Below are 13,834 nucleotides of genomic sequence, written 5' to 3'. Positions count from 1 at the left end.
CTTATGTTTTTGTGAACTACTTCCTAAAAATTCATACTAATGTCGCTATGTTATGTCAGGGCTTGCTTTAAATGTTATATGTATAAAAAGCATGTCTTATATAACGTCACATTTAAACCATGACAATATTTTATTGTAAACAGATGTCAAAATATTTGTCTTTGGCCTACCTTTACGGCAGCATTATCAGGAATACCAGTTTACTCACCTGGCTGATAAAATGTTCTTTCTTCACATGTCTCGAAATGTATCTAATGGAATCAGCAGCTTTTTCCAAAAAAGCAACTAGAACTTTTTCTCCATCACTAAGCTGTTTCTGTTTCTTTTTTTCGAGGACTTTGCCTTTCACTACTGGTTGACTCTCCTCTTTCTCTGGGGATGAGTAGCGATCCACATGATCTTTCATGCAAAGTAATTTTGGAAGTTTCTGCAGAAAGAGCCTCTTAACCCAGGGGGCCATGGGGTGGTACGTGGAAGAAGATCTGTGGTGAACGTTAATGACAAACACGGTAACAATGATGGACAGGGTCACAAAAATCATGATGAACAGCAGGTACTCTCCAATGAGAGGAATGACTTTGGAAGACGATGGGATGATTTCTTCAATCACTAAAAGGAAAACTGTCAGAGAAACCAAGACCGATGTGGATAATGAAAGTTTTTCTCCTTCATCCGAAGGTAAATAGAACACAAGAACTGTTAGGAAAGACAGCCCCAGGCAGGGGATGATGAGAAAGAGGGTATAGAATAAAGGCAGGCGTCTCAGGACGAAGGAATACGTGATAAAGGGATAGGAGTACACGCCGTCCCTTCTGTTCCCCTTCATCCCCTTTGCGTTCAGTATTTCCCATTCTCCGTTATCGAAGAAGTCTTTTCTGTCGACATTTTCATTGATCAAAATGAGGTCAACCATGGTGCCATCATAAGTCCAGGATCCAAACTTCATGGAGCAGTTCTGTCGGTCGAACGGGAAAAACGTGACGTCCATGGTGCAGGAGCTTTTGTAGCTGGCGGGAGGGGTCCAGACAACAGTTCCGTTTGATTTCACGATGACCTTGGTCATCAGGGAGCCTTCGAAGCGGCCGTCAGCACTGCAATCAAAGCAGTTTCACCTTAGCAGTCGGTGGAGCACCTGCTAGTTTTTGTTCTTTTTCCCAGCATTGACTATTTCTGTTTTATGACTTTTCTTTTCTTTTCTTTTTTGAGATGGAGTCTCACTCTATCGCCCGGGCTGGAGTGCGGTGGCGCCATCTCGGCTCACTGCAACCTCCGCCTCCCGGGTTCAAGCAATTTGCCTGCTTCAGCCTCCTGAGTAGCTGGGATTACAGGCACCGGCCACCATGCGCAGCTAAGTTTTTGTATTTTTAGTAGAGACAGGGTTTCGCCATGTTGGCCAGGCTGGTCCCGAACTCCTGACCTCATGAATTGCCCGCCTCGGCCTCCCAAAGTGCTGGGATTACAGGCATGAGCCACCACACCCTGCCCTATTTTAGGACTTTTCTACCACAACGCCAGGTAACTGTTTTAATAAACAATTTTTTTATTTAAAATTGAATATTTCTTTTAAGTATTTTGCCTGAATCAGAATTTTCTATTCCTAGTGTTAATCTGACCAAAATAGTTTTCTTCTGTGATACTTACTTTCCTTTTTTTCACTTTTTATTTTTTATTTATTTATTTATTTATTTATTTATTTATTTTTTGAGACGGAGTCTCGCTCTGTCGCCCAGGCCGGACTGCGGACTGCAGTGGCGCAATCTCGGCTCACTGCAAGCTCCGCTTCCCGGGTTCACGCCATTCTCCTGCCTCAGCCTCCCGAGTAGCTGGGACTACAGGCGCCCGCCACCGCGCCCGGCTAATTTTTTGTATTTTTAGTAGAGACGGGGTTTCACCTTGTTAGCCAGGATGGTCTCGATCTCCTGACCTCATGATCCACCCGCCTCGGCCTCCCAAAGTGCTGGGATTACAGGCGTGAGCCACCGCGCCCAGCCTTTTTTTCACTTTTTAAAAAATTTATTTTTTTCCCCATAAGTAAGAAACAATGTGATACTTACTTTTCAAAGAGAACTATGTCAGGAAGCCACAGAGATTCTGATGGAACTTTAATGGAATGGATCCCACCATAATCATCAGGATTCCAGCGTAACTTGTGGTCTGTCCATTCCTGCATGAAATTAGTACACTGTGATTTTATTCCGAAAGTTCAATGTATTAGATCTTGAAATCTTCAAGTTTCTGTTAGCTTTACCAAGCCACTGTTTTATTAAGAAAAGGAAATTGTCCCGGTTGGACTGCGTGACCCTACTGGGGACTCAGTACAGGATTCACCTTGAGCCAGCCTGGCCTCTGATCTCACCCAGGCCCACACACTTTGCATGTTACATATTTCCAAAATTACTGTATCTGCCTCACCATGAAGAGGCTCTACAACAAACGCCACTAATTCATGATCTATCTTTTCATCCTATTTTCTCTTAACAAACAAACAAAAGAAAAGCAATGATGTGTCTAATTCAGTTTATTCTAGGAGGGTGGGTCCAGTGATACTTAAATCACATGCTAACTGGTACAAGTGATTTTAAACACCACTCAAGAGGCTTAGATGAACATCCACCTGCTATGTTAATATGAGACATCCATTTTCCATGAATTCTTCTTGATCACATTAGAACTTGTATCCAATAAAAAAATGTTTTCCCAGCATTTTCTTTTAAGTTTTAATCTGAATTTATTTTTGGAGCTCCCAATTATAATTTTAAATTGCATTCCTAATATCGTTAGCCTCCAGGCGCTTACACATTTTTCTTCATAAGGATGAAATCACATGGCATGTTTTACAGGGGCTGATGAATCCAGATAAATAAACCTGACCATGAATTGATCAGACTGTGAAGGTCAAGAGGATGATGTATGGATGACCCAATCACAGCAGAGTGGACTCTATTACAAAGATTTTAGGGTCCAGAATCATAGGAAATCTGACCTGAAAATTAAAATTTTCTATTCTACAGCCCCTCGTGTGGATAGGTGAGTAAGGATGCGGGAGTTCAGAGAGTTAGAAGGGCATGCCCAGCATGACGCTTCCCGGAGCCCAGTGATGCCAACTTTGTCATTAAAACATCAGGAGTCAGCAGATGGATGATGTCACTAGATGGTAAAATACTGAAATATGCATGATGCCTGACAAATGATGGAACTCCACACCCCAGAGGAAACATTGTCTATCTTAGACAACATTTTTGAGACTTGATCCCCAAAAAACAAAGTTTAAGATGTATGGGCCTTTAAAAAGCTAGAATCTGAAGTATAACAAAATGGCATGATATTTATTTATTTATTTATGTTTTTGAGACAGAGTCTCGCTCTGTTGCCCAGGCTGGAGTGCAGTGGTGTGATCTCGGCTCACTGCAAGCTCTGCCTCCCAGGTTCACGCCATTCTCCTGCCTCAGCCTCCTGAGTAGCTGGGACTACAGGTTCCCGCCACCACGCCCGGCTAATTTTTTTTGTATTTTTTAGTGGAGACGGGGTTTCACCGTGTTAGCCAGGATGCTCTCGATCTCCTGACCTCATGATCTGCCCGCCTCGGCCTCCCAAAGTGCTGGGATTACAGGTGTGAGCCACCGTGCCCGGCCAATGGCATGATATTTATGGGAAATCACGCATATGAAACTGACAATTTAAGAGCCCAATAATAAAGTATTCACCATGTTTACTTGGTGCTCATGGGCTTCTCTTTTTTTCTTCCTCCTCTTCCAATTTCGAAGAACAAATATAATCTCCTTCCTAGGAATAATTTGTCTCCTGCTAAGGAGACTCTTACTATCATTGGTAGGTCTGAGTCTCAGAGATCTTGGAGGGAACTCACTTACAGTAGCATTTGTGGTTTGTTTCAATTCCACTTTATGCACTTCGTAAAAATTTACTTACAATAAAATTCACTCTTTGGTTTACAGTTATTAATGCAAATAGCTGTATAATAACTGCAGGCATTAAGATGCCAAAACAGTTTTTTTGCCCAAAATATTTCCCAGGTGCTGCCCTTTTGTAATCAACCCCTCCTGCATTTCCAGCCCTTGGAAATCCCTGATTTGTTCTGTTTCTATAATTTCAGCTTTTCTAGAATGTCATGTAAATGGAATCAACATAACATTTCAATTCTGACTTCTTTACTTAGCAATGCATTTAGATTCTTCATGTTTGTTTTTTGTTTTGTTTTGTTTTTTTAATTTGAGACAGGATCTTGTTCTTTTTCCCAGGCTGGAGTGCTATGGTGACATCATGATTCACTACAGCCTCAACCTCCTGGGCTCAAGTGATCCTTCTGCTCCTGCCTCAGGCTCCCAAGTAGCTGGGACCACAGGTGTATACCACCACACCCGGCTAATTGTTTTGCTTTGTAGAAATGAAGTCTGCCTATGTTGCCCAGACTGGTCTTGAACCCCTAGGCTCAAGCAATTCTCCTGCCTCACCTCCCAAAGTGTAGGAATTACAGGTATGAGCCATTGAGCCCAGATTCATTGTGCTTTTTAATATGCATTTTCCTAATGACTAATCATGAATATCTTCATGTGTTTATCTGCCATCCATGTATCTTATCTGGTGAAGTGCATAATGTTTAATCAAGTTGTTTGTTTTCTTACTGAGTTTTTAGAGTTCTTTATACATTCTGAATAAAAGTGGTTTGTCAAATATTTGATTTACAAACATCTTCTCTCAGTCTTTTTTTCCTTTTACTAATGTCTTTCACAAGTCAGAAATTCTAAAAGTTCATTTTATCAGTTTTATTGTTTATGGATTGTGTCATATCTAAGAAATCTTTGCTTAACACAGGGTCACGAAGATTTTCTCGTATGCTTTCTGCTAGAAATTTTGTAGTTTTTTGTTTGTTTGTTTTTTGAGACAGAGTCTTGCTCTGTCGCCAGGCTGGAGTGCAGTCGCACAGTCTCGGCTCACTGCAACCTCTGCCTCCTGGGTTCAAGCGATTCCCCTGGCTCAGGCTCCCGAGTAGCTGAGACTACAGGTGCACACCACCATGCCCAGCTGATTTTTGTATTTTTAGTAGAGATGGGGTTTCACCATGTTGGCCAGGATGGTCTCGATCTCTTGACCTCGTGGCCCACCAGCCTCGACTTAAGTCTAAGATCCATTTTCCATTAATCTTTTATAAAGGTGCAGGAATGGGTTGAAGTTCATTTTCTTTTGCATGTGAGTGTCCAATTGTCAGCACCTTTTGTGGAGAAGACTAAACATTATCCACGGAACTTCCTTTGTACATTTGTCAAAATGTAGTTAACTGTGTATGTGCATGGGTCCATTCTGGACTGTTCTGTTTCACTGATCTGTGTATCTGTCTTTCTTTTTTCTTTCTTTTTTTTTTTTTTTTTCGAGACAGAGTCTCACTCTATCGCCCAGGCTGGAGTGCAGTGGTGGGATCTCGTCTCACTGCAACTTCCACCTCCCAGGTTCAAGTAATTCTCATGCTTCAGCCTCCCAAGTAGCTGGGATTATAGGCATGTGCCACCACGCCCGGCTAATTTTTGTGTTTTTAGTAGAGACAGGGTTTCACTATGTTGGCCAGGCTGGTCTCGAACTCCTGACCTCAAGTGATCCAGCCACCTTGGCCTCCCAAAATGCTGGGACTACAGGTGTGAGCCACGGCGCCCGGCCCTGTGCATCTGTCTTTTTGACAATATCACACTGTCTTGGTTATTATAGCTTTAGGCAAATTTTTGAATCTGCTTGTGGCTATCTATAAGATATCCTGCCAAGATTTTAATTGTGATTGATTTGAATATACAGATTAGTTTGGTGAGAACTGGCATCATAATATAGATTCTCCTGGCCCAGGAATATTATTTATGTCTCCATTTACTTAGGTCTTGATTTTTTGTTGTTGTTGTTTTGTTAGTGTTTTGCAGTTTTAGGCTTACAGGCATTGCACATATTTAGTTAGATTTATACCTAAATAGGCCAGGGGCAGTGGCTCACGCCTGTAATCCCAGCACTTTGGCAGGCCAAGGCGGGTGGATCACCTGAAGTCAGGAGTTCATGATCAGCCTGGCCAACATGGTGAAACCCTGTCTCTACAAAAATTAGCCGGGCATGATGGTGGGTGCCTGTAATCCCAGCTACTCAGGAGGCTGAGGTAGGAGAACCGCTTGAACTTGGGGGCGGAGGTTGCAGTGAGCTGAGATCGCGCCACTGCACTCCAGCCTGGATGACAGAGCTTGGCTCTGGATGACAGAGCTAGACTGTATCTCAAAAAAAAAAAAAAAAAGTCATTTAATTTTTAAAATTCCAGTCGTTCATTGTTAGTATCTAAATATACAATCTACTTTTGCATTTTGACCGTATGTCCTGTGACCTGGCTTACCTCACTTAATTTTGGGATCTTTTCTGTAGATTTTCTACATAGACAATTATGTCATTTGCAAGTGGAGCGTTTTATTTCTTCCTTTCCAATCTGAATAACTTTGACTGCTTTTCCTTGCCTTAATTACTGAGTAGTAGTAGCTGCAACACTAGAAAGATGGCAGAGCAAGAGCAAAGATAAATCCCTTTGGTTCCAGAAAATCTCCTGAAAATGAGGACAGCTTATCAAGCCCTCAAAGCCACCCAGGCAAAGCAGGCACTTTTGGCAAAGAAGGAGCAGAGAAAAAGAAAAGGGCTCAGGTTTAAACAACTGGAATCATTCCTACAAGATTCCTGGTGACAGAAACGTGACAAGGTACGTCTCAGACGACTAGAAGTGAAACCACACCTTGGAATTGCCAGATAAACATTCCTTGGCCTTTGTTGTACGCATCGAAAGGATTGATGGCGTGAGTTTACTGGTGCAGAGAACCATTGCGAGACTTTGCCCAAAGAAAATTTTTAGTGGTGTCTTTGTAAAAGTCACCCCCCAGAACCTAAAAATGCTGCGTATAGTGGAAACTTATGTGACCTAGGGATTTCCAAATCTGAAGTCTGTCTGGGAACTCATTTTGAAACGTGGACAAGTCAAGGTCACGAATAAGACCATCCCTCTGACAGACAACACAGTGATTGAGGAGCACCTGGAGAAGCATTTCCAGGAGATCTCGTGGTTCTTGTGCCCTTTCCACCTCTCAGTGGCCCGTCATGCTACCAAAAATAGAGTGGGCTTCCTCAAGGAGATGGGCATACCTGGCTATCAGGGTGAATGCATCAATCAGCTCATCTGCCAGCTGAACTAGACCCAGGTGCCAAACTGCAGTAAATTTTTATCAATGAAGTGGAAGCATGTGTTTTTGTATTTTGGGGAATTTTTATCAAGTATCTTCAGAGAAGATTATTTCCTGCTTTATCTTCAAAAAATGGAAAGGAAGGGTCAAAGAAAAGACAGTAGCTGGCCGGGTGCGGTGGCTCACGCCTGTAATCCCAGCACTTTGGGAGGCCGAGGTGGGCAGATCACCTGAGGTCAGGAGTTTGAGACCAGCCTGACCAACATGGAGAAACCCCATCTCTACTAAAAATACAAAAATTAGCCGGGCATGGTGGCACATGCTTGTAATCCCAGCTACTAGGGAGGCTGAGGCAGGAGAATTGCTAGAACCCTGGAGGTGGAGGTTGCGGTGAGCCAAGATTGCGCCATTGCACTCCAGCCTGGGCAATAAGAGCAAAACTCTGTCTCAAAAAAAAAAAAAAAAAGAAAGAAAGAAAAAAGAAAAGACAGTAGCTTATGTTCATGGCAAGCACCTCTCATCACAGTCCAGTTCCAAGGAAAAAATTCCAGTGTTTTCTTTTTTTGTTTTTTGAGACGGAGTCTCACTCTGTTGCCCAGGCTGGAAGTGCAGTGGCACAGTCTTGGCTCACTGCAACCTCCGCCTCCCGGGTTCAAGCCAGTTCTCCCACCTCAGTCTCCCAAGTAGCTGGGACTACAGGCGCCTGCCACCATGCCCAGCTAATTTTTTTTGTATTTTTAGTAGAGATGGGGTTTCACCGTGTTGGCCAGGATGGTCTCGACCTCCTGACCTCAGGTGATCCGCCCGCCTCGGCCTCCCAAAGTACTGGGATTACAGGCGTGAGCCACCGCGCCCGGCCAATTCCAGCGTTTTCTACATTGGCTGCCGCCTCGTCTGAAATCAGCACATTCCATGGAGGAAGGAGTCCTGCTTTGCTGCATCTTCTATCCTAGAGTTTAATGGTGGTAAATGAGTAACTCTAGCATTTGTCCAAGGCTCCCTAAGACTCCTGTAGCAGTCGACCAACCCCAGGGACATAATTGAATCTGGAGATTCCTGGGGCCTTTGTTTGAAAAAGACTTGAAATACACATAGGAAGAAAGGCACAAAAATAAATGTTCACTTGTCTCTGCTGTGAGTCTATGTTCCAAAAAAAAAATTACTGAGTAGTATTATGTTAAGTAGGATATCCTTGCCTTGTTCTTGAACTTTGGGGGAAAGCATTTAGTTGTTCACCATTAAGTGTTTATGTTAGGTGTTGGGGGTTTTTGTAAATATCCTTTATTAGATTAAGGAGGATTCCTTCTATTACTAGTTTCCTGAGGTTTGTTTGGGGTTTTGTCATGTTGGTCAGGCTGGTCTCGAACTCCTGACCAGGTGATCTGCCCGCCTCAGCCTCCCAATGTGCTGGGATTACAGGCATGAGCCACTGCGCCCAGCCTAGGTTTCTTTTCTTTTTCTTTTTTTTTGAGATGGAGTTTCGCTCTTGTTGCCCAGGCTGGAGTACAGTGGCGCAATCTTGGCTCACTGCAACCTCTGCCTCCAGGGTTCAAGCGATTCTCCTGCCTCAGCCTCCTTAGTAGCTGGTATTACAGGCATCCACCATCACGCCCAGCTAATTTTTGTATTTTTAATAGAGACGGGGTTTCACCGTTTTGGCCAGGCTGGTCTTGAACTCCTGACTTCAGGTAATCCACCTGCCTTAGCCTCCCAAAGTGTTGGGATTACAGGCGTGAGCCACCACAACCGGACTAAAATATAATAAATATTTATTAATGCTGTATTAGATGAGGCAACCAGCGCTTAGAGAGTTCAAATACCTGTCCAAGGCCACACAGCTAGTCAGTGAGGGAAACGGGATTCAAGGCTGCTGCACATGGCTGGGTCATCCATGCAGCCACTACTCCAGAGGTGCCCTGCACACTGAGTCTGCTGTGAAGGGGGCCCCCAGGAGATGTGCAGCCTGGTGGCCTTAATGGGCTTTAAGCTAAGGTCTGCCTGAAGCCAGATCCTCCACGCTTTTACCTCTCCCCATGATGCACTGCAGTGGGAAAACCTGTAGCTTAAAATGCTTCATAAGTTCATTTGTTTCTAGAAAGCTTTCTACGGTTCAGCTCTCAGGGGTATTTCTGGTGCTGATAGATATAAAGCACAATGGTGTACTCAGGCTAAACAGCAGCTCATTTCATCTCCTCTCCATCAAAGAGAGAAAACAAAAAAAACAATGATAGAACAGAAAAACTGTTTGGCCTTAATAGCAAAACACCTGTTAAAAGGCAAACAGTAAAATACAGTGAAATATCTGTTAAAAGTAATAATAAAATATAAGCAATAGTAAAATATCTAAGTAATACGATATCTTATTGCTATATTTTAGTAAATATCTAGGTAATAGGTATCCTATTACTTACGATATTTTAGTAAATATCTAAGTAATAGGATATCCTATTCGATATTTTAGTAAATATCTAAGTAATAGGATATCCTATTACGATATTTTAGTAAATATCTAAGTAATAGGATATCTTATTACGATATTTTAGTAAATATCTAAGTAATAGGATATCCTATTACTTACAATATGTTAGTAAATATCTAAACAGTAAAATAAATGAGTAAATATCTAAATAGTAAAATATATAAGTAACAGTAAAATATCTGTTAAAGCCATCCCTCCCCCAAGAGGGAGCTGGGCAAGGTGGCTCACATCTGTAACCCCCTGCACTCTGGAAGGCTGAGGCAGGTGGGTCGCTTCAGCCCAAGAGTTTGAGACCAGCCTGGGCAACACAGGGAAACCCCATCTCTTCAAAAATTAAACAACAACAAAAATTAGCTGGGTGTAGTTGTGTGTCTGTGGTCCCAACTACTTTGGAGGCTGAAGTGGGAGGATCACTTGAGCCTGGGTGTTCAAGGCTGCAGGCACCTGTGATTGCACCACTGCATTCCAGCCTTGGAGACAGAGCAAGGCCCTGTTTCAAAATAAATAAGTAAATACATGAATAAAAGTCGGGGGAATTATACAAAAAATCATACTGTACTGTGTCCAAGTGCCGTGATGAACAATGGGAGAATTATGAGATGAGGAATGCGCCACAGGGACACAGGCCTTTGGTCATCCTCTGCTTCGGCAAGGCCACGGGAAGGAGGGGCACACCAAGAGATCTTTTTTTTTTCTTTTCTTTTTTTTCTTTTTAATGGAGTCTCACTCTGTCGCCCAGGCTGGAGTGCAGTGGCGCGATCTCTGCTCACTGCAACCTCCGCTTCCTGGGTTCAAGCCATTCTCCTGCCCCAGCCTCTCCGGTAGATGGGATGTGCCACCAAGCCTGGCTAATTTTTGTATTTTTAGTACAGATGGGGTTTTGCCATGTCGGTCAGGCTGGTCTCGAATTCCTGACCTCAAGTGATCCACCCGCCTCGGCTTCCCAAAGTGCTAGGATTACAGGCGTGAGCCACCACGCCTGGCCACCAAGAGATCTTTATGTAAAGAGGAGGAAATCAGATTAGGAGATAAAAAGGACACGTGCTATGTCTGTTGCCTTGAATTCACCTGCCTTTCTCTTGGTAACAGAACCCCAGTTTCCTTTTGTGGAACAACCTCACTCCACTCTCAGTCCATCAGCTTTTGGGGGAGCTGATGCATCCTTCTGCTCCAGGCCTGCCTCTCAGACCTGCCCACTGTGATTTTCAGGGACAACAGGCAACCAAATCAGAGTTGGCAAGACACCACAGGGCTTCTGAGACCACTGGAAAAGAGGTGGGACACTCTTACCCTGATGAACTTGCACACAGGAAATGTTTTGTTTTGTTTTGTTTTGTTTTGTTTTGTTTTGTTTGAGACAGAGTCTCGCTCTTTTGTCCAGGCTGGGGTGCAGTAGTGTGATCTCGGCTCACTGCATCTCTGCCTCCCAGGCTCAAGTGATCCTCCCACCTCAGCCTCCCAAGTATCTGGGACTACAGGAGTGCACCACCATGCCCAGCTAATTATTGTATTTTTTGTAGAGACAGAGTTTTGCCACATTGCCCAGGCTGGTCTGCAGCTCCTGAGGTCAAGTGATCCACCTGCCTCAGTCTCCCAAAGTGCTGAGATTACAGGTGTGAGCCACTGCGCCTGGCTTATAGGAAGCATTTTGAGTCTGGAGTTGATGTAGACATCCTGCTTCCGGGGGAGGGTATGGATGAGAATGGAATCAACACAGAGGACAGGAAGCCCAGAGACTCCCAGAGAGGAACCAGGTCCTGGGAATATAGCAGGGGCCCAGCATGAAGCTGCAGGTAAAGCCAGCCCTGTCCCTGGACTTTTCCGATTGTGAAAGCTAATAAGTTCTCTTTTTGCTAGTGTTAGTTTATGTGAGGTTTTCTGTCACTTGCAACTAAAATGTTCTCAGCTGATCCTGGGAAGAACCTGGGTGGCTATGCAGCTGCAGCACGCTGCAAGCACATAGCTAAGAGCACTGGGGACAGGCACAGACTTGGGCAGACCAGCTAGGGCTGTGCTGTCATGCTCCAGGTCCATCTTTAGTGAGCACAGCTAATGAGCCCAAATGCACAGCTCCTCCATCTGGAACCTAAAGATTGATGGAAATGAAATCACCTGCTTCTTGGATCCAGTTTCCTTCCTTCTACAGGCACCGAAGGTCTTTACCTACACCCAGTTCTATCCTGCAAAGGAGGATGGGGGATGACTAAAATTCTAGCACTTCTGTCTTGTTGCAAATTGCAAAACTGCAGCAAACAAATACCAGCTTTATAAATTGTTCTAAGAGAACTAGGGCAAGCCTCAGGGGGAGGTATTTTTAAGTCAGAAAGATTTGTGTTGCTTACCTGACCTTCAACAGCAGGATTAACAGCTGTGACCAGAGATAAAACAGAGATAGTGGTTTATGGGGCTCACTGTTTTCAAAGAGTTCATTCATTCATCAAATATGCAAGGCATGTACTAGCACTGAGCACAGCTGCCTCAACCTCTTATCCTGGGGCTGACTCAGATGATAAACCAGTAAACTAACAAATACCCACACCTCCTGACAGTTGCTGTAAAGGAGACAGTTTGGGTATGGGATACAGAACAGTGGAGTAGACAGGGAAGGCATTTCCATGGAGACGACATTTAGACTAAACATGCAGGGTAAGAAGCAGTCTGAGGGCTGGGCGCGGTGGCTCATGCCTGTAATTCCAGCACTTTGGGAGGCCAAGGCGGGCAGATCACGAGGTCAAGAGATCGAGACCATCCTGGCCAACATGGTGAAACCCCGTCTCTACTAAAAATACAAAAATTAGCTGGGCATGGTGGCACACGCCTGTAGTCCCAGCTACTCAGGAGGCTGAGGCAGGAGAATCTCTTGAACCTGGGAGGCGGAGCCGAGATCGTGCCGCTGCACTCCAGCCTGGTGACAGAGCAAGACTCCATCTCAAAAAAAAAAAAAAAAAAAAAAAAAAAAAAAAAAGAAGGCTTCTGAGTGGGGCAGGGTTGCGTGGGGAAGGAAGGCTGGCCAAAGATGGAACTGCCTGTGGAAAGGTGCTGGGGCAGGAAGGAAGGAGATCATGAATGCGGGCTGCCTTCAGATCCTTGAGGAGGATTTTAAAGGGATCTAGAGCAGACTCAGTTGCTCCTAACCAGTAAAGAAAAAGAGGCTAGGTGGGACTTGTGGTCAATACTGCTAACACTGGTGGCCTCAAAAGAGAAAGCACACTGGACTCCACTCACAAGCCCTGAGCTCCACACTAGGACTGTGCTTTACTAGCTGTACAACTTGGACGAGTCACTGATCTCCAGCTGCTGCATTGCTTTGCAAGGGTGAGAGAGCATTCTTCACAACCTTAGTGTCCTTCTGCTATCAGACAGGGAATCACAGAGCGTTCTCCCTGAGATTCCCATCAGAGGGCTCATCCAGTTTCTTTTCTGTTGTTTTTAGACAGGGTCTCACTCTGTCGCCCAGGCTGGAGTGCCGTGGTGTGATCATAGCTCATTGCAGTTTCAACCTCCTGGGCTCAAACCATCTTCCAACCTCAGCCTCCCTAGTAGCTATGACTACAGGTATGCACCACCATGCCTGGCTAATTTTTCTTATTTTTTGTACAGACAGGGGACTCCCTATGTTGATCGGGCTGGTTTCAAACTCCTAGCCTCAAATGATCCTCCTGCTTTGGCCTCCCAAAGTGTTGGGATTACAGGCAGGAGCCACCATGCCCAGCCCACCCAATTCCTGCCAGGATGTGTGTTCACCACAGAGCTGGCTGTGCCCTGTAGACCAGGACCTCTGTGGGTTTAGAATGGCACAAGCCACAGGACATTTGCAAGTGGCAGAGTCAGCAGTGCCCAGCTGAGCAGCCAGAGCCCAAACCTCTATCTCGTTCTCTAAGGGGCTGCGAGGTTTTCTGGTCACTTCTTTGTTCTCTCTGAAACCCTGGTGGCATCTGGGGATTAAGCTCCTGTCTCTCCCTTCTTAGGGTAAGAGATGAGAAATAATATTCCATGTTTGCATAGTGTGTTCTAGCTGAGATGCTCAAAGCCGTCGTCAAACACCAGCTCCACATCACAGCAGTTCCCGACTTGAGAGCTGTGTTTTTGCAGGAAACAGGATCGCACAGGATATGTCAGAGCCAAATATCAAAGTTAATCTATGACTAAGAAA

General features: G+C 44.5%; 1 protein-coding gene and 1 pseudogene across 3 annotated transcripts in view, besides 1 other annotated feature; one reads left to right on the top strand and one right to left on the bottom strand.

Annotated features, from left to right (window-relative positions):
• CHRNB3 (cholinergic receptor nicotinic beta 3 subunit) overlaps positions 1-13,834 on the bottom strand; it is a 40,042-nt gene that overhangs the window by 4,650 nt on the left and 21,558 nt on the right. For all 3 annotated transcript variants that reach the window (NM_001347717.2, NM_000749.5, XM_011544390.3), the window contains 2 exons: positions 2,055-2,164; positions 209-1,091 (listed from right to left, as the gene is read on the bottom strand). In NM_001347717.2, coding sequence (NP_001334646.1) covers positions 209-1,091; positions 2,055-2,164 — 993 coding nt within the window. The remainder of the gene's footprint in view (positions 1-208; positions 1,092-2,054; positions 2,165-13,834) is intronic.
• Positions 6,509-7,423, top strand: RPL7L1P17 (RPL7L1 pseudogene 17; annotated as a pseudogene).
• Positions 11,961-12,460: an enhancer, noted in NCBI's record as "H3K4me1 hESC enhancer chr8:42575441-42575940 (GRCh37/hg19 assembly coordinates)". NCBI's record gives its function as "activates a minimal SCP1, AML or CMV promoter by ChIP-STARR-seq in naive H9 embryonic stem cells {active_cell/tissue: H9 hESC(naive)}" and the evidence as "EXISTENCE:reporter gene assay evidence [ECO:0000049][PMID:30033119]".

The sequence above is a fragment of the Homo sapiens genome, chromosome 8 (assembly GCF_000001405.40).
Source record: "Homo sapiens chromosome 8, GRCh38.p14 Primary Assembly".
NCBI lineage: Eukaryota > Metazoa > Chordata > Mammalia > Primates > Hominidae > Homo > Homo sapiens.
The sequence above is the reverse complement of the archived record's forward strand: the minus strand, read 5'-3'. Positions and strand labels throughout refer to the sequence as shown.